The 20,678-nt window shown below is 45.3% G+C and overlaps 1 protein-coding gene and 1 long non-coding RNA gene across 3 annotated transcripts in view, besides 3 other annotated features; one reads left to right on the top strand and one right to left on the bottom strand.

Moving 5' to 3' along the window:
- Nucleotides 1-6,587, bottom strand: part of SPIN1 (spindlin 1) — a 90,251-nt gene extending 83,664 nt beyond the window's left edge. The window contains exon 1 of the mRNA NM_006717.3: nt 6,493-6,587. The gene's annotated coding sequence lies outside the window, so the exon portion shown is untranslated. The remainder of the gene's footprint in view (nt 1-6,492) is intronic.
- Nucleotides 5,832-10,203, top strand: LOC124902204 (uncharacterized). 2 transcript variants are annotated; one of them, XR_007061652.1, is made up of 2 exons: nt 5,832-5,919; nt 6,914-10,203. It is a non-coding gene; the product is annotated as an uncharacterized LOC124902204 (long non-coding RNA). The 2 variants fall into 2 exon arrangements; XR_007061651.1 differs by having other exon boundaries at nt 5,833-5,919; nt 6,917-10,203.
- Nucleotides 5,935-6,834: a silencer, noted in NCBI's record as "silent region_20004". NCBI's record gives its function as "represses an Ori minimal core promoter by ATAC-STARR-seq in GM12878 lymphoblastoid cells {active_cell/tissue: GM12878}" and the evidence as "EXISTENCE:reporter gene assay evidence [ECO:0000049][PMID:35858748]".
- Nucleotides 6,912-7,771: an enhancer, noted in NCBI's record as "H3K27ac-H3K4me1 hESC enhancer chr9:91002175-91003034 (GRCh37/hg19 assembly coordinates)". NCBI's record gives its function as "activates a minimal SCP1, AML or CMV promoter by ChIP-STARR-seq in primed H9 embryonic stem cells {active_cell/tissue: H9 hESC(primed)}" and the evidence as "EXISTENCE:reporter gene assay evidence [ECO:0000049][PMID:30033119]".
- Nucleotides 15,740-16,736: an enhancer, noted in NCBI's record as "OCT4-NANOG-H3K27ac hESC enhancer chr9:90993210-90994206 (GRCh37/hg19 assembly coordinates)". NCBI's record gives its function as "activates a minimal SCP1, AML or CMV promoter by ChIP-STARR-seq in primed H9 embryonic stem cells {active_cell/tissue: H9 hESC(primed)}" and the evidence as "EXISTENCE:reporter gene assay evidence [ECO:0000049][PMID:30033119]".

The raw sequence follows: 20,678 nt of genomic DNA, 5'->3' as shown, positions 1-20,678 counted from the left end.
CGAGACCATCTTGGCTAACATAGTGAAACCCCGTCTCTACTAAAAATACAAAAATTAGCCGGGCGTGGTGGCGGGCACCTGTAGTCCCAGCTACTCAGGAGGCTGAGGCAGGAGAATGGCGTGAACCCGGGAGGCGGAGCTTGCAGTGAGCCGAGATCGCACCACTGGACTCCAGCCTGGGCGACAGAGCGAGACTCTGTCTCAAAAAAAAAAAAAAAAAAATACATTAAATAAAAAACTAAAGCAATTCTTAAAGGAAGAATTTCAGGCAAACAACCCAAATTAATTATCAAACATATAACATAATCAGAGAAAATCTTTTCAAATGGCCTTCCAAATTAGAATGTCAACTGTACATGCTTATGTGGATATATTTTAAGGAAAAAACCATAACCAAACATAAAGCTACAGTTGCTTATTAGTGTTATTTTCAAACTACATTTATACTGTAAGATAATGCAATTATATTAATGTTGCTAAGAATGTAAATTTTCAACGTTAGAGAAAAAAGGATAAGCTCATAGTAAAAACTCTGTGATGTTAAATTCGAACTGGAAATACCAATATAAAAATCAAAATCTGTATGCTTCCCATGGCTGTCCAATAAAAGCATGGGCATTCTAACAGTAAGAACATATAACACCCAGATTTCTGTATCTAAATTCTAATCCTCAATAAAGCAAGCTGAAAGACTCGGTTGATAGGTATTTGGCAGGAAAAGCACAAAGTGAACCTTAGACATCTTGTGTCAGAAAGCAAGAAAAGCTTCAGAGATTACGTGTCATGTCAAAGGAAAGAGAACCAGGTTGAAAGGACCTCAACATGTCCAAGTTGTGAAAAGCTAAGGAAAAACAGTGAGTATTTGATTAAAACACTGGATAAAGCCACACATGGTGGCTCACACCTGTAATCCCAGCACTTTGGGAGGCTGAGGTGAGAGGATCACTTGAGCTTGGGAGTTTGAGACCAGCTGGACCAACAAGGTAAAACCCCATCTCTACTAAAAATACAAAAAATTTGCCAGGCATGGTGGTGCACGCCTGTAATCCCAGCTGCTTGGGAGGCTGAGCCAGGAGAATAGCTTGAACCCGGGAGGCGGAGGTTGTAGTAAGCCAAGGTCACACCACTGCACTCCAGCCTGGGTGACAGAGCAAGACTGTCTCAAAATTTAAAAAACCAAAAACACACATTGGATACATAAAAATCCATGGGTCTACAATGATGCTAAAGAGAGAAAGAAAAAAGTAATTCAAACCCCTCCCTCCAAAAAAAATCAGCTCTGGAGAGATGGCTGACGCCTGTAATCCCAACACTCTGGGAGGCCGAGGCGGGCAGATCACAATGTCAAGAGATCGAGACCATCCTGGCCAACATGATGAAACCCCCGTCTCTACTAAAAATACAAAAATTAGCTAGGTGTGGTGGCACATGCCTGTAGACCCAGCTATTCGGGAGGCTGAGGCAGGAGAATCGCTTGACTCCCGGGAGGTGGAGGGTGCAGTCAGCTGAGACTGCGCCACTGCACTCCAGCCTGGTGACAGAGGGAGACTCCGTCTCAAAAAAAAAAAAAAAAAAAAAAAAAAAACCCAAAAGCAAGAAAAAGGACATTCTTTTCTCTCCTTATTGCCTGTGTCAGGTTAAGCAACAGTAATTCAAATATATGATATGATTTGTTAAATCATTTGCAGACAGGCCCAAGCATAAACAACTACAAAGAAATATAACCTAGTTTTAAAAAAAAAATTGCCTATTTTGTTAACACGCTACTATAACATCTCAAATGGTAAAAAGATGCCTTACTAGTCTTTTCATGTATTCTCTCACCATTTGGATAAAATAATATTTACATTGAGTAAATTCTTCCTCCTCCCCTCCCTTCAGGAAAAAAAAAAAAAAAAGCACATTTAACATAACATTAAATATTCTGAGTTCAGACCAATACCCCATGCCTTAAATGACTTCACCAGCTTCTCTAACAGGCTAGACTCTGGAGATTAAAGATCCTACATGGGCAGGTTCCTCCAACTCACCTTTCATACTGTTCTAAAACACAGGTCCAATCCTGCCCCTGCTTTCAATGGTTTCCCTCTGCCTACAAATTCAACACCAACCACCTTAATGTTACATGCAGAATTTAAAAGGTGGCCCCCAAATTCATCCCTAGACAGATCAGCCATAGGAAAGAAACTACAGGTGGTGTAGGCAGTGGTGACATCATCATCAATATCAACTGGGCATTTACTGTACACCAGGAGCCTATGAAACATTTTACTTCATTTAAGCTCACCCCTGATGAGGTAGGTGTTCTCGTCCCCTGCTATACATAAACACACTCACAAAGGAGGATAGATAGAAAATAGTAGCTAGGTAGATAGGTAGAAAAAGAGGGAGGAAGGAAGGAAGGAAGGAAAGAAGGAAGGAAGGAGGGAAGGAAGGAGAAGAGAGGAGAGGAGAGGAGACAGGTAACAAGGGGCTAACTTTTGGCTGGGATTGAAATCCCCGATGGCCTCTTTAACTCCTCTCATGCCTCTGTTCCTGCTTTCCCCTCCATCCAGATGTCTTTCTTCTCCCATTCTGATAATCTATGGAATCACCTTCTCTTCCCAGATACCTTCAGCACAGAATTCCCTCATTATATGCATGTGTATCTCCTCTATCAGACTATAAAGTCTGTAAGGATACATCTGTGTTTATATATTTAGCCAAACACGACTTGTTCTATAAAGGGTTTACGGCAATTTTAAGGTCATGAACAGGCTCCCAGTAAAAACATAATTTAACATTAAATTGGACTGAATACTGATGCACAACTAAGGAAACTGTTTACCTCAACATTAAAAAAATGCTAATAACTACAGCTAAGTTCAAAAGTAGAAAGGAGAAGGAAATCAACATCTACTGGCGTCAGCTGCTGTATTTCAGGAACTGTACTGAGAACTCTATAAATCCATTTCATGTAATTCTCAGAACAGACTTACACCATAGGTTTTATCCCAGTTTATAGGTAAGGAATTCAAGGTTTTAAAAGGCTTTGCGGGTTGGCTCTTTCACCAATATTTGCTGGAGTTTGGGTTTTCAGGCTCTTTCTGGGTCATAGATTTCTTTCCAGGATACCTTGTAGCAATTTGAGAGCTGGCATCACTTCCCGCTGGGTCCCAAAGATGCAGGAAGAGCTTAGTACTGTTGACTAGACCGCGGATGGACCCACCACAAAAGTTTAACCCAACCTTGACCCCAGAATCTTCACAAATGCTCAGTGAAGAAAATCCCCAGGACGACTCGGGCCTCTCTTCTGCTCAGAGATGTCAATAAAGAACTTCAGTAGCGTGACTTTCAACCCTAGTACCAAATTCCCTTCCCTTCTACCAGAAGATTCATCCCAACAACTGGATAGAAGAGAAACGACCTTCCAGGACATCAGAGATGGCTTGCCTCAGGAGTAGAAGTAAGAACGCTGCTACCTATGCAGAAAGGAAGTATGGCAAAATTGAGATACCTGTTACTCAACAGATGTTCTTGGCTTGAAAAACTAGTAGACACTGGGCCAAAGGGAGAGTTCAGAATGAATCAAGAAGGGAACCATTCAAATGTGGCTGCAGTTTCTGTTATCATAGATAGCCTGAGAATGCTACAACAGGGAATCATGACACCAAGCCAATTCAACCATAAACTGTCATTCTTGTACTTTTTTTTTCTTGCTGGTAATTTTATGTATTAGGTTGAGAAAGCTAATCTATGTTAGAAGAGCCTGTATACCAATAATTTTAATAAACAGTTCTGTGATTTTTTTGGGTATATTTTCATTTCTACCATACCACCAATAATTTATCAGAGATCTATGTAGCTTGAATGTATTTGAGTAACTTCAACATACTTCAGCTCTCCTCCCTGATGTGACCCAAAGAGCCAGTAGGTCCTAAGTGTCCTATGTGTGTTAGAAGCCTGAAGTCAGTGAGATGAAGCCCAACCCAAGAGTTCAAGTAAAGCAACTTGTGGGGCAAGAATATAAAGAAAACAGTGGGTAGTTTGGCAAGAGCATAATTATTAAATTTTCTGGTTTTCAAAAATGTGAACTCCAATAAGAGGACCTTCAATGTGCTGTTTTTGCAATTTTCAGTAACAAATGTGTGTACAGAGAAAATAAAACTGACATATTTGAGTAGCTTTAAAAAAAAACTTTTTTTAAAAAAAGGCTGCATGATGAATCAGTTATGTGGCTTTGGACCAGTAAGGAGTCAATTTCAACCCAGACTGTTCTGACTTGGAAGGCCATTGTGATTCCATGTCTAACTCCAGAATATTGTTTTCACAATACCATAACATCTTCTAAACTGAACAAAATACTTGCACGAAATAGTTGATTCTCTTCTTCCAATTTCTTTTCATTCATGGAAAGGGAAAGAAGACACATTGAATTAAGCATCCAACAAATATAAATACAGCATTAACATTTAAATGCTATCTCAGCAAATATTTTAAAGGATAAACCAAAAGAATGTATATCGAATATACTAGAAAAAAGATGCTAGCAATGAAGGAGTGCAACCAGTAACGTTGTAACTATGTGCAATCAGGTAAGTCACTGGAAGTGAAAACCACCTAAACCTCTGGCAGCTAAAACCAAATTAGTAACTCTCATCAATATGATAGCCAAATTTGAGACACTACCCACGAAATGCAGAGGGGCACACATCAGGCACATCAATATTGTGACCCCTCAGTTCACAAGTAAGGGAGACACACAATTATCTGAGATACACTTTAAGGACACCAATGACCAACATATGGCATCGCAATGGCTGTTCCAGGGAACATCCATTTTCACTGTTTCCTGGATTTCAGGCATAGAAAGATGACTGAAGACATATAGTGGCCCTTTTGCCTTGACCCAGTTCATAACCATTGTAAAAGTAACCATTTCACTACTCAAAAGATTATAAAGAAACTATTTTTCCTAAGAATCTAGGATCTACTACCTATAATTCTGGCATACACATTCTTTACAACCTTAATATATAATTATCAAATCTGATAACGAACGTTCTGTAAATTACCAGGTACTACAATATTTTGGTGTTTGCCTTTTAACTAAAGCTGAGGGGGGAGAGTGGGGAGGTTGGAAGAAGCCTCATTTCACCTGCCCTTTCCAAAATTTCACTTCAAAAGAGTGTTAAAAAAAACTCAGTATATCCAGGTATAAATCTCCAAGTTTAATTTTCACTGCTTAACAAAAGCGATGTAGAAAGCAATTACTGTACCCTCCATTAATCCTTTCGGATTGCATGGAATTCCTTCCAGAAAATTCCAATAGAAAAAAAGTTAAGACAGGTAATCGCGTTTTGGTACGTGTGTCGTCTCTGGCACAAGTCATGTAGAGTGAAATCCTTTAAGACATTTAAATGTTCCTGGTATTGTTTTGTGATTAACGTGATAAAATTGCCAAACAATCCATATTTACCATGAGTGAAAACACTTCCACCACGTACGGAAAATCTCTCCAAAACACAAAATCTGATTCAAAAATTATAAGTAAAAAGAGAATAAATGTAAAAACAATTCCATAAACAAACTTTGAAATGCGTATACGATGACATTACTGAAGCCATTACTCAAAACGAACCTCTGTAAAATCGAGAACGCACAATCAATGCAATAAAATGCTCGAGAAAGCCAAACCCGAGGCGCTGCGCAGTTCCCGCATCGCACAATTCGTTTCAACACATTCCTTGACGAATACACCCAAGGTCACTCACGATGGAGAGGAAAAGTGCCTGTCTCTCTCCAGAGCACGCAACCCGTTCGCCGCGCCCCCACGGAGGGCGGCGAAGAGACGGCGCATCAGGAAAGGGGCTGCGCGGGCGCGAGGACTGGCCGGTGGGCGTTCCGGCGCCGCGAACCGCGGAGCCTGCAACTTACAAGGTCCGCGGCCATCCCCCGGGCCTGGGAGGGGTGGCCCCAGGGCAGGCCCGCGTCCCCGGGGTGACCCGACCCGTCGCGCCGGGGTCCCGCCCCTCCCCCCGCCCCGCCCCCGTCGCCGGCCCGGGATTATGCAACGTTCCCCCTCCCCGCCTGCATTCTGGCGCAGCGCCCCCTCCCCGCGCCCGACTGCGCAGCGCCGCCGCCCCCTGCCCGCCGGCCTCCCCGCCCGGCTCCAAACAAAGCGCGCGCTAAGGGGCCGGCGGCGGCCGGGGAACTGGGGACGAGAGGGTGGCGGCCATGTTGGCGGGGGGCGGCGGGGATGGGGGCACGGAGGAGTAGGGGCCGGCGAACAAAGGAGCGCGCGCCCGCCCCGAGGCCCAGGCCCGCCCAGCCCGGGTCCCCGCCGCGGCCCAGCCGGCAGGGGGCGCTATGCGGGCGCCGCCCGCTGGACAATGCTCCGCCGGGCCCCGCGCGGGCCGCGCTCACCTGCGCCCCCGGGCAGACCGCCGCACCGCTGGCCCGCCCGCAGCCCGCACTCCCTCACGACCCACGCCCGCCCTGCGCGGGCCTCACCTGCTGACCGCCGAGGCTGCAGTCCACAGGCCCACGGGTTCCGCCGTCGCTCGTTCGCGCTCCCGCCGGCCCCAGCCTGAGCCAGACGGCGCCTCCCCGCCCCCGCTCCCTCGCCGCGGACGCCGCCCGCCCCCCAACAGTCAGGGCGCACGCGCACTGCGCCCGCCGAACTGCGACGGCCGCGCCGCCCCGGCGCCTGGCGCCGACGGCCGACTGCGCAGGCGCAGTGGGGCGGGGCGGGGCCGGCGAGGGCGGGGCCTGGCCCCTCTCACCTGGCTGGCGGCAGGGCGGGGCTCGAGCCCGGGACTGCCAGGTGCGCGCCGGGAATGGGCGGCGGCAGGCGCGCGGGGCACAGGTTCCTGAGGGGGCGCAGCTTTTCCTGGAAGGCAGGCAGCCTGAGAAGGGCTTCGTTTTTGCGCAGTAGGACGTTGAAGAAAGGACAAGCCCCCTTTGTCCTGGACGTAAGCCGCAAGTCGTCCTGAGTGGTGCACACCGCGAAGACTGAGGAAACTGGATCACAGGGCTGGGCCGTGAGCCTTGAACCTCGGAGAACGTCGCATTACTGCTCCAGCGCGCCGGTTCAGGGCCGCGGGACGCGAGCCCTTTAAAAGGATGGATTTGCTTCCTGTGACTCCCTGGAAGAGACGTCTTCACCACCGCACTGCGTAGAGGCCGGCGTCGTCGCCGGCTCACCCCGCTTGCTGCCTCCCCGCACAAAGCCCAGCCCAGGTAGCTCAGGTTAGCTGGAGCCCCGGAGCCTCACCTACAAGTACCTGGCCTGTCCTAGGTTGTGTGGGGACGGGATGTGGCTTCTGCAAGCCCAGAAACCTGTTTCCACTCCCCCACCACAAATGGAACTCACCCAGCTCTACTCGCAAGGTTAGGAGCCAAAAATTCCCATGATCGCACGCGAATTCATTTGACTTCCGTTTCAGTTAAGATGCCTTTTCAGCATTTTGTTGCTTGTTTGCAGAAGGGAGAGAGGTAGGATCAAGAATAGTTTTTACTCCTGCAGAGTCGAGTGCGAGACTTGGAGGCTGAGTCCAGGCGCTCTCCCCTCCCCGCCAGTCCCGTGTCCTGGAGCAGGTCACTGACCTGGTTCCTCGAGTGCGACAGCGCAGCCTCATCGTAATAAACCGCCTCCCAAAGCGTTGTCAGATCAAATTCCAGAACATGTTACTGGAAAGCACCTTGAACACTCTAAACTGCAGCACAGTTATTAGTTAGCAATACTCTTTGGGGTTTCACTGGCACCTTTTCTAACAAATAAGATTGATAGATGCCTGCTCAAACAAATTGAAGTGCTTGTCTCAGATGACACACTTGGCAGGCATGGGACGTTCACAGGCCAACTAGAGAGCTAATTTCAAAACTGAGATATAAAAGTGTATCGCTGTACTTACAAGTTACCAAGTGTTGAGAAATTACTCACTTTCATTTGTGTGTTTAATGTCTTTTTTGTTTTTTTAGACGGAGTCTCACTCTGTTCCCCAGGCTGCAGTGCAGTGGCATGATCTCGGCCCACTGCAACCTCCGCTTCCTGGGTTCAAGCAATCCTCACATTTCAGCCTCCCGAGTAGCTGGGATTACAGGCGCGCACCACCATGTCCAGCTAATTTTTAAAAATATTTTTAGTAGAGACGGGGTTTCGCCATGTTGGCCAGGCCGGTCTCAAACTCCTGGCCTCCAGCAATCCGCTGGCCTCGGCCTCCTGAAGTGCTAGGATTACAGGCGTGAGCCACCGCGCCTGGCCTGTTTAATGTCTTGCAGTGGGGTCATCTCCGAAACAAAGAGGGATGGGAAGAAGGTAGGTGCCAAGAAGTCTGCTGGTTGGAAGATTTCATCTCATTGGCGAGATCCCTGGGTTTCTCCACCTCAGCAGTGTTGGCTTTTGGGATGGGATAATCCTTTCATGTGGGGTCTGTTCCATGCTTTGTAGGATGTTTGACAGCATCCCTGGCCTCCACCCACTAGATGCCAGTAGCACACACACTCCTCCAAAATTCACGGAAAACGTCTTCAAAGTCAAATATGTGGCCCCACCTTCATCTCCATCCCCAACCCCTGATTTAAAATTTGCCACTGGTGATGATCTCATTGGGAGCTATTGAGAATACACAGGACTGTGGTTTACACCTGTAATCCCAACACTTTGGGAGGCTGAGGCTGGAGGATGGCTTGAGCCCAGGAGTTTGAGACCAGCCTGGGCAACATAGCAAGACCCCAACTCTAAAATAAATAAAATTTTAAAAAATTTTAAAAAGGCCAAGAACAGTGGCTCTCACCTGTAATCCCAGCACTTTGGGAGGCCGAGGCAAGTGGATCACTTGAGGTCAGGAGTTTGAGACCAGCCTGGCCAACACAGTGAAACCCCATCTCTGCTAAAAATACAAAAATTAGCGAGGCGTGGTGGTGCACGCCTGTAATCCCAGCTGCTCCAGAGACTGAGGCAGGAGAATCGCTTGAACCCAGGAGGCAGGGTTTGCAGTGAGTCGAGACTGTGCCACTGCACTCCAGCCTGGGTGACGGAGTCAAACTCCATCTCAAAAAAAAATACACAGGATTGTGGCTCATGCCTGTAATACCGGCACTTTGGGAGGCCAAGGTGGTAGGATGGCTTGAGCCCAGGAGTTCAGGACCAGCCTGGGCAACATAGCAAGACCCCAACTGTACAATAAATAAATAAAATTTTTTAAAATGAAACAAAGGCCGGCCAGCTGCAATGGCTCACGCCTGTAATCCCAGCACTTTGGGAGGCCGAGGCAGGCAGATCACTTGAGGTCAGGAGTTCTAGACCAGCCTGGCCAACGTGGTGAAACCCCATTTCTACTAAAAATATAAAAATTAGCCAGCCGTGGTGGCAGGCACCAGTAATCCGAGCTATTTAGGAGGCTGAGGCAGGAGAATCGCTTGAACCCAGGAGGCAGGGGTTACAGTGAGCCGAGATTGCACCACTGCACTCCAGCCTGGACAACAAGAGTGAGACTCCATCTCAAAAAAAAAAAATTAAAAATAAAAGAATGCACAGTCCAGTAATGTCACCCAGCCCTATATCAGTAAAGGTCACACTCTAGAGTGGTACATATCTCAGCTGCATCTAAGGCCTTGCTAATTAGCTCATTAGAATGTCACAAATGGGTTTTTATATTACCCATGTATAGCTGCCAAAAATGTTTAAGTGAATCTAATCAAAGTTGGAAAAAAAAATAAGAAAAATCCAGGTTGGAAGACATTCAGCAAAACAATTTCCCTGCACTACACTCTAAAAAAAGTCAAGCTAGGGAATTGGTCCAGACAGATAACACAACTGGGTTGGTCCATTAAGTGACCCCTGATGCAGCACTGCATTGAAGGCAAAAAAGCTGTGAGAGAGATTTGAGGGACAACTGGGGAACTTTGTAGTTATATATGGACTATATATTAGACAGTATTATTGTATCATCATTAGATTTTTCAGTGTGACAGTGGCTATTTACAAGAATGCCCTAGTTCTTAGGATGTTAGTGCTGAATCATTAGACAAGAGACCTGATGGCTACAACTGACATATAAATGCCTCAGAGACTGATGTATTTTATATGGAGGTAAAGCAAATGTAACAAACTGTTAATAGTTGGTGGATCTAAGTGATGAGTCTAGGTGTGTTATTGTGCAGTTTTTTCAACTTTTCTGGAAAACGAACTTTTCAAAATAAAAAATTGGAAAAATAGAATTCAAGTTAATTTATGAATTTCTAGGATACTAAGACCATTGATTCAACTTGCCAGGCAGCTCCTGCTGTCCTCCAACTTGCTAATGAAATGTTTTGAGAAACTTACCTATATAGCAAATTTCTTTTATTTTGCTTTTGTTATATTTTGGAGAAGGAGTCTTGCTATTTCGCCCAGGCCTGGCTTGAACTGTCCATCCTTCACCTTGGCTTCCTGAATAGCTGGGGCTACAAGCATGCACCACCAACCCTGGCATATAGTTAATTTCTTTGCAGTTTCTCAACCATACTCAACTTCTAGAGATTGGATCAAAGGTTCTACATATATTTTTCCTCCTATAGCAAGCTTATTAAATACAAATTGGCATGTTAAAAACCTTGGCCGGCTGGGCGCGGTGGCTCATGCCTATAATCCCAACACTTTGAGAGGCAGAGGTGGGCAGATCACCTGAGGTCAGGAGTTCGAGACCAGCCTGACCAACACGGTGAAACCCCTTCTCTACTAAAAATACAAAAAAATTAGCCGGGCTTGGTGGCAGGCGCCTGTAATCCCAGCTACTCGGGAGGCTGAGACAGAAGAATCGCTTGAACCTGGGAGGCAGAGGTTGCAGTGAGCCGAGATCGCGCCGTTGCACTCCAGCCTGGGCAATAAGAGCGAAACTCCGTCTCAAAAATAAATAAATAAATAAAAGCCTTGGCCTATACTAGATGTATATGTCTTTTAACTCTGGGTTCCTGGGCTCCTACTTGGGAGGATTTCTGCCCCAAGGATGAATATGCTTGTGATTTGGAGTGGAAGAAGGAAGAGATACCAAAGGCATGAGGGGTGGTTATATCTACGGTGAACCTTGATATGTTCACCCCACTGGCATTGATGTAATAATTGGAAACTGACCCTAGGGATCCTTTTCAAATTAGTATATTTATTATAGAATTATTCAACACAGCGAAAAGTATTCAGTATCCAATATATACCCCAAGTACATGGATAATTATTTGATTGGCTTAACCTCTAGGTGGGTGAGCTTGAAGATCCACCTTTAGGAAAGGATGCTGTCTCCCCAGTGGTTGCCTGTGTCATACACAGATGGGTCAGGCAGCGGTCATCCAGCTAGGACTGCTCAGGTTCTCCCGTTGAGTGAATATTAACATGTTGGCCCTTAATATGATTGAGGTTCATGCTGGTTCTCCCACTCACACTCATGGCTATAGATTTATGGATGTGCTGATTAGGCAGCTCTAAATGCTATGGTTTGAGTGTTTATCTCCTCCAAACTCATGTTGAAATATAGCCCCCAGTGTGGCAATATTGAGAGGTGGGGCTTTTAAGAGGTATAGTCCATACATGGATTAGTGGATTAATGGGTTGTTATGAAAGTGGAACTGATGGTTTTATAAGAGGAAGAGAGACCTGAGCTAGCAAGTGAGCTCACTCAGCCCCCTCTCCATGTGATGCCCTGCACAGTCTCAGGACTCTGCAGAGAGTCCCCACTAGCAAGAAGGCCCTCTTGAGCTTGGACTTCCCAGCCTCCATAACTGTAAGAAATAAATTTCCCTTGTGGCCGGGCATGCTGGCTCATGCCTATAATCCCAGCACTTTGGGAGGCGAAGGAGGGCGGATCACCTGAGGTCAGGAGTTGGAGACTAGCCTGGCCAACATGGTGAAACCCCGTCTCTACTAAAAATACAAAAATTATCTGGGCATGGTGGCACATGCTTGTAGTCCCAGCTATTTGGGAGTGTGAGGCACAAGAATCGCTTGAACCCGGGAGATGGAGGTTGCAGTGAGTCGAGATCATGCCACTGCACTCCAGCCTAGGCAACAAAGTGAAACTCCATCTCAAAAAAAAAGAAAAAAGGAAACTTCCTTTCTTTATAAATTACCCAGTTTCAAGCAACAGAAAATAGACTAAGACACCTAACATGTGAATCCTGATAAGATGGTGGCCTCACTGAGACAGAGGCAGCTCTTCTGTGTTGGATGTGATGAGGCACTGGGGCCAGATCTCTGACTGAGAGCCACAACTGATACAGGCTCCACGTGAGGAAGTGTGGTGTCCATCCAGGCTGTCGGTCAGAACCGAAGTCACCAGCACCTGCCTGGATGGTCAGCATTAGGACCAGAGGAGGGGAACAAATAAGGAAAGCACAAACAGAGACAGGGTCAGAAACAAACTGAGCACACACAGCCCTGCTGGGAGCCTCTCTGGGTGTTGTCTGCTCACCTGGGTTCCAGGAGGCTGGCAAGGGTGGGAGCATGCTCCATCCCTCCTCTAGCCCTCTGTCACATTATCATAGTCTTATAAGCTCCCAGCATACATCCTTTGCTCTATCCTTTGCCGTATCTCCACTGCCTAGACAAAAGTCTGGTGAGAGTAGGGGGTCAATAAAGACACTATAAGGGTGGGCACTGTGGCTCTCACGCCTGTAATCCCAGCACTTTGGGAGGCCTGGGCAGGAGTATTGTTTGAACCCAGGAGTTCCATACCAGCTTGGGCAAGTTCCATACCGGCTCAGGGCTTATTGATGGTTTAGAGTCTCTGTGGATGGCTTCCCCATGTTCACGCTACAACTTCAATACAGAAGTTATTCTTCCATGGGAAGTAATTGGTTTAAAAAAAACAAACCCAGGTGGTCTGTGGAGGAGCCACACCCAGTCTTAGGCCCAGCCCCCATCCTCTGACCCTTTCTCCCACTATCCCATCACCTTGCTAGAGTGTGAGTCTTGAATGGTGGGGGCCTGTTTAGTTTACTTCTCAGGAAGCCTCCGACTACTGGACTCGACACCAAAGCTTCTTCCTGATAAAGAAGAATATCAGACAAGATAAGTTTAACAGAGTTTATTTGACCAAAGAACAATTCACCAATCATGCAACCCTCAGAACAAGAAGGGGTTTCAAGAGCTCATCTCCGCAATGTGGGCAATGAGTATTTTGGATGGATATGTTGAGAATAAACCTTTAACAGATTTATTCTGAGCCACATATGAGTGACCATGGCCAGTGAGTGACACAGCCCTCAGGTGGTCTTGATGTTAGATATGAGTTCTAAATTTCTTTTCAAACTGTCAATATGTCAGTATGTTCAATTCTTTGCCTTCTACTTTTAAAATTAACTTCCTCATAAATCAACCTTTTGATTCAAGCGATTCTTCTGCCTCAGCCTCCCGAGTGGCTGGGATTACAGGCGTGCACCACCACACCCGGCGAATTGTGTATTTTTACAAAATTAAACTTCCTCATAAATCAACCTTTTTCGATTACCTACTCCACCCTGACTCATTCTGATTATCTACTCCACTCTGACTCATTCCAATTACCTGCTCCACCCTGACTCATTCCGATTACCTGCTCTGTGATAACATTTTTCCCGCCAAACCACTCACCCTGTCACTCTCTTTAAATTAGCCAGTCGGAATTAGTTTAGCCTATGCGGTCTAACCCTAGCCAATAGGGGAATGACACAGCAGCAGGTGTCAGGAATAAGAACCCCTTCCCCTCCCTTGTCCAAGTGTGTGCTCACCATTGCTCCATCTGTGAGGGCACACCCTTCTATAGAAGTACCTTGCCTTGCTGATAATTAAAAGAAAATTTAATATTCGAGTGCTATTTCTTTTGTGGCACTGAAACTTTATAACACTGAGAACATGTGCCCAAGGTGGTCGGGGCACAGCTTGATTTTATATATTTTAGGGAGGCACGAGACATCAATCAAATACATTTAAGAAATACATTGGTTTGGTTCTGAAAGACGGGACAACTCAAAGAGGGGGCTTCCAGGCTATAGGTAAATTTAAACATTTTCTGGTTGACAATTGGTTGAGTTTATCTGAAGACCTGGGATCAGTAGAAAGGAAATGTTCAGGTTAAGATAAAGGATTGTGGAGACCAAGTTTTATCGTGCAGAAGAAGCTCTCAGATAGTAGAATTCAGAGAGGGCAGGTTGTAAAATGTTTCTTACTGGACCTAAAAGGGTGCCTGGCTCTTAGTTGATTATCTCCTGGATCTGGAAAGGAAGGAAGGTAAAAAATAAATAAATGAATAAAGAAAAGGGGGAAAGGGGATTCTCTGTAGAATGTGGATGTTTCCCATAAGACATGGCTTGGCAGGGCCATTTCAAGATATGGCAGAGAAACATGATTTGGGGTAAAATATTTTGATTTTCTTCCTTGTTATGCCAGAGTCAGATTGGAAAGTAAGTCACGATATACAGGGTTAAATAAAACCCATCTGATATGATTTGTAGGGCACGATTCTGCAGACCCCTTAGATAGGAATTGGGGCAAGATAAAAAAAATCAGAGCTTAATCCTTAGGTAAAAGGATGAAGAAAGCAGAAACAAAGAACCAAAAGCAAATTGGTACGTTCAAAGTTGCTTTCCTTGTAAGGGTTGAAGCAGAGGAGACTCCCTTATCAAGCCAGCTAAAACTGGCCTGTTTGGGAGTGACTTTTATCTCTCTCTCTCCTGATTTCTCAGGTCAGTTAACTTAGTTTGGTGGCATCAAACTTTAGCAGGAGGGACTCCATCTTGCTTTGGTCTGTTGGAGCTGGTGCAGGAGCTCAGTGGAAATCAATGGCCTCCTATAAATGTTATTTACATTTCTATTAAAGGGAGAGGGAGCCAATGGTGGAGTTCAGCACACACCACCCCAAAACATGTCTGTAGGAGACCAGTATATTGCCATTCCAAATAAGCCTCTTTGACAAAGGATTACTTTCAACTGGTGATTTTGGGAAACAGCAGACACAGGAGAAGCTCTGAAAACAGTCAACAGTTATCCTTTTGCAAGAGAAACTTATTCTATAAAGAAAATCTGCATTTGTAATGGTGTTTTCCTCTCTATGCCAGGAAGAAAAGGATGACTAAATCACTGCAAATTCTTATTTTATTTTATTTTATTTTATTTTATTTTATTTTATTTTATTTTATTTTATTTAGACAGAGTTTCGCTCTTTTTGCCCAGGCTGGAGTGTAATGGCACGATCTCGGCTCACTGCAACCTCCGCCTCCTGGGTTCAAGCAATTCTCCTGCCTCAGCCTCCCGAGTAGCTGGGATTACAGGCATGCACCACCATGCCCGGTTAATTTTGTGTTGTTTTTTTTTTTAAGTAGAGACAGGGTTTCTTCATGTTGGTCAGGCTGATCTCAAACTCCGGACCTCAGGTGATCCGCCTGCCTTGGCCTCCCAATGTACTGAGATTACAGGCATGAGCCACCATTCTCGGCCTTGGAAACTCTTACTAATGCAAAAAGCACAAGCTCAATCTGCATCACAAACCTGGCTTTTGTTTACCCTGCACCTCTTGGCCAGGTAGTCCTAGCAGAGGATGAGGGTGATCTGGCCCACACCTTTCATTATTTGTATCAGGGAATGATGGTACATAAGTCTGAAGCTACCTCTTTGAGATCTACTCTTGAGATTGTCTCATTTCTCTGAGTTATCTCCCTTGTATTTATCAGATAGTCATGTTAATAAACTTGTTTGCTTTTCTCTTGTTAATCTGTATTTTGTTCTAGCAGTCCATCTCAGTGAAGAACTCAGAGAGGGTTGAGGGAAAATATTTTTTTCCTCCCCGAACTAGCCTGCCACTGTCCGCTGGAAGCCAGGCAGCTGTGGGACTACAAGGGGCAAACAGAACCCAGGAACTGTGTCTCTCGGAAGGCACCCCCTCTCCATACTCATTTATACTGTGGCTTAATGCCATGCTCCTGGAGCCTCAGCAAAATCACAAATTGTAGTGCCATGCCCTTCCAGGCTTCTCTCAAACAACTGTCCATGTCTGTATAAAAATAAACAGAGGCCAGGCACGGTGGCTCACACCTGTAATTCCAGCACTTTGGGAGGCTGAGGCGGGCGGATCACCTGAGGTCGGGAGTTCGAGACCAGCCTGACCAACATGGAAAAACCCCATCTCTACTAAAAATACAAAATTCGCTGGGTGTGGTGGCGCATGCCTGTAATCCCAGCTACTCGGGAGGCTGAGGCAGAAGAATCGCTTGAACCTGGGAGGCGGAGGTTGCGGTGAGCCAAGATCACGCCATTGCACTCCAGCCTGGGTGACAAGAGCGAAACTCCGTTCAAAAAAAAAAAAGACAGAAAGAAAAGAAAACCAGAACAGCCCTTCCATTCCCTGGTTCAGCAGTTATCATTATTCATTAGCCTCTGGAGGGGGCACAAAGTGTATATCCACAAGAACATTTACACATCACAGGGTTGGGGAGCGGGGAGACATCACATGGTGCTCAGGAAATGTTTACTGAATGAAGAACTTGAAGAGAGAAACAGCAGGAGCAGAGTTCAGCCATCTGGTCAACTTACCAGGCTTCTTTCCATTTCCCTTGGCTGACTCCCCACCTCCCTACAGGTCATTTTCTGCACAGCAGGCAAATAAATGCTTTTAAATGTCACCTCCTCAGAGAAGCCTCCCCTGACCACCCGCACAAGTAGATTGCCCACTATTATTTCCTTTTACTTACACCCTTATTGTTTCTACTTGTAGCATAGATCCTTTTTGTAACTGCATAGGTATCAGTTTGTTTACTTGTGTATCCTCTGTTCTCATACCCCATTATCAAGTCCAGAGGGCACAACAAACTCTTGTTTTCATTATCAGTATACTCCTAGAGCACGGTAAGGGTTCAACAACTGTTTATTATGAATAAACGCATGACATGGTCAGGGAATACTGGGTCATGTGGATTTATTAGGACACTGGGGTTATGAAGCGCCAGGATATTGGGGGAATTTAAACTCTCCTTGCCCATTCTTACAGAGTTATGTCAAGGATCAAAATAAGTTCTATACAGAACTACACTTTTATAAAGGAGTTTCACCATACAGTTGGAAACCATTTAAGTTGTTCGGTCAGGTTTGTGGGGTAAACTTTGCTGAGTCAATCTGGTGCTGTCTAGAGGAAAATGTAGAGGAGGAATTTTGAGATATAGGAGACCATGTAGAAGACTCTTGTAATAAACTTTTGGAGACAGGATTTGACCTGATGGAGTGCTCATGAAAAAGATAGCATAATAATAATTGTCAGGCTGGGTGCAGTGGCTCACACCTGTAATCCCAGCACTTTCGGAAGCCTAGGTGGGTGGATCACACTGAGGTCAGGAGTTCGAGATCAACCTGGCTAACATGGTGAAACCCCGCCTCTACTACAAATACAAAAATTAGCTGGGCGTGGTGGCAGGCGCCTGCAATTCCAGCTACTCAGGAGGCTGAGGCAGGAGAATCCCTTGAACCCAGGAGGTGGAGGTTGCAGTAAGCTGAGATAGCATCCACTGCACGCCACCTGGGTGACAACAGTGAAACTCCGTCTCAAAAATAATTGTCAAACAGCAAGTAAACTGGGTACTTCACGATCACAGATAATTATTTTATTGGGGAGTGGGATGATGGTTATGTTGAGAAGGAGGATATTTTATAAATGTTTATAAAATGTGTATGTTTATAAATGTATAACCACCTAAAATGTTTACCTTGACTGCTGACTAGACAGAGCCAATTTATCAAGACAGGGGAATTGCAATAGAGAAAGAGTATTTCACACAGAGCCGTACGGAGATGGGAATTTTATTATTACTCAAATCAGTCTCCCCAGGCATTCGGGGATCAGAATTTTTTTTTTTTTTTTTGGTATAGAGTCTCGCCTGTCTCCCAGGCTGGAGTGCAGTGGCGCGATCTCAGCTCACTGCAAGCTCCGCCTTCTGGATTCCCGCCATTCTCCTGCCTCAGCCTCCTGAGTAGCTGGGACTACAGGCGCCCGCCACTGCACCCGGCTAATTTTTTTGTATTTTTTTAGTAGAGACGGGGTTTCACCGTGTTAGCCAGGATGGTCTCGATCTCCCGACCTCGTGATCCGCCAGCCTCAGCCTGTCAAAGTGCTGGGAATACAGGCATGAGCCACCACACCCGGCCTTTTTTTTTTTTTCTTTTTAAGACATAGTTTCGCTCTTGTCGCCCAGGCTGGAATGCAATGGCATGATCTCGGCTCACCGCAACCTCCGCCTCCTGGATTCAAGCGATTCTCCTGCCTTAGCCTCCCAAGTTGCTGGGAATACAGGCATGTGCCACCATGCCCAGCTAATTTTTGTATTTTTAGTAGAGACCGGGTTTCACCATCTTGGCCAGGCTGATCTCGAACTCCTGACCTCGTGATCCACCCGCCTCGGCCTCCCAAAGTGCTGGGATTACAGGTGTGAGCCACCGCACCCAGCCGGGGATCAGAGTTTTTAAGAATAATTTGATGAGTGAGGGGTGGCACCAGTGATTCGGGAGTGCCGATTGGGTCAGAGATGAAATCATAGGGAGTTGAAGCTGTAGTCTTGTGCTGAGTCAGTTCCTGAATGGAGGCCACAAAATCAGATGAGCCAGTTGATCAATCTGGGTGGTGCTGGCTGGTCCATCAAGTGCAGGATATGCAAAATATCTCAAGCAGTGATCTTAGGTTTTACAATAGTGTTGTTATCCCCAGGAACAATCTGGGGAGGGTCAGAATCTTGTAGACTCCAGCTGCATGACTCCTAAACCATAATTTCTAATCTTTTGACTAATTCGTTAGTCCTACAAAGACAGTCTAGTTCCCAGGCAAGAAGGGAGTTTGTTTTGGGAAAGGGCTGTTAACATCTTTGCTTCAAACTATAAACTAAGTTATTCCCAAAGTTAGTTCAGCCTACCCCCAGGAATGAACAAGGACAGCTTGGAGGTTAGAAGCAAGATGGAGCTAGTTAGGTTAGATCTCTCTCTCTCTCTCTCTCTCTCTCTCTCTCTCTCTCTCTATATATATATATATATATATATATATATATTTTTTTTTTTTGTTTGTTTGTTTGTTTTTGTTTTTTATTATACTTTAAGTTCTAGGGTACATGTGCACAACGTGCAGGTTTGTTACATATGGATACATGTGCCATGTTGCTGTGCTGCACCCATTAACTCGTCATTTACATTAAGTGTATCTCCTAATGCTATCCCTCCCCCCTCCCCCCACCCCACGACAGGCCCTGGTGTGTGATGTTCCCCTTCCTGTGTCCAAGTGTTCTCATTGTTCAGTTCCCACCTATGAGTGAGAACATGCAGTGTTTGGTTTTTTGTCCTTGCAATAGTTTGCTGAGAATGATGGTTTCCAGCTTCATCCATGTCCCTACAAGGACATGAACTCGTCATTTTTTATGGCTGCATAGTATTCCATGGTGTATATGTGCCACATTTTCTTAATTTAATCTATCGTTGGAAATTTGGGTTGGTTCCAAGTCTTTGCTACTGTGAATAGTGCTGCAATAAACATACGTGTTCATGTGTCTTTATAGCAGCATGATTTATAATCCTTTGGGTATATACCCAGTAATGGGATGGCTGGGTCAAATGGTATTTCTAGTTCTAGATCCCTGAGGAATTGCCACACTGACTTCCACAATGGTTGAACTAGTTTACAGTCCCACCAACAGTGTAAAAGTGTTCCTATTTCTCCACATCCTCTCCAGCACCTGTTGTTTCCTGACTTTTTAATGATCGCCATTCTAACTGGTGTGAGATGGTATCTCATTGTGGTTTTGATTTGCATTTCTCTGATGGCCAGTGATGATGAGCATTTTTTCATGTGTCTTTTGGCTGCATAAATATCTTCTTTTGAGAAGTGTCTGTCATATTCTTCGCCCACTTTTTGATGGGGTGGTTTTTTCCTTGTAAGTTTGTTTGAGTTCTTTGTAGATTCTGTATGTTAGCCCTTTGTCAGATGAGTAGATTGCAAAAATTTTCTCCCATTCTGTAGGTTGCCTGTTCACTCTGATGGTAGTTTCTTTTGCTGTGCAGAAGCTCTTTAGTTTAATTAGATCCCATTTGTCAATTTTGGCTTTTGTTGCCATTGCTTTTGGTGTTTTAGACATGAAGTCCTTGCACATGCCTATGTCCTGAATGGTATTGCCTAGGTTTTCTTCTAGGGTTTTTATGGTTTTAGGTCTAACATTTAAGTCTTTAATCCATCCATCTAGAATTAATTTTTGTATAAGGTGTAAGGAAGGGATCCAGTTTCAGCTTTCTACATATGGCTAGCCAGTTTTCCCAGCACCATTTATTAAATAGGGAATCCTTTCCCCATTGCTTGTTTTTGTCAGGTTTATCAAAGATCAGATAGTTGTAGATGTGTGGTATTACTTCTGAGGGCTCTGTTCTGTTCCATTGGTCTATATCTCTGTTTTGGTACCAGTACCATTCTGTTTTGATTACTGTGGCCTTGTAGTATAGTTTGAAGTCAGGTAGTGTGATGCCTCCGGCTTTGTTCTTTTGGCTTAGGATTGACTTGGCAATGCGGGGTCTTTTTTGGTTCCATATGAACTTTAAAGTAGTTTTTTCCAATTCTGTGAAGAAAGTCATTGGTAGCTTGATGGGGATGGCATTGAATCTATAAATTACCTTGGGCAGTATGGCCATTTTCACGATATTGATTCTTCCTATCCATGAGCATGGAATGTTCTTC

Source organism: Homo sapiens, chromosome 9 (genome assembly GCF_000001405.40).
Source record: "Homo sapiens chromosome 9, GRCh38.p14 Primary Assembly".
NCBI lineage: Eukaryota > Metazoa > Chordata > Mammalia > Primates > Hominidae > Homo > Homo sapiens.
Note: the sequence above shows the minus strand (reverse complement) of the source record. Positions and strands in the feature narration are given on the sequence as shown.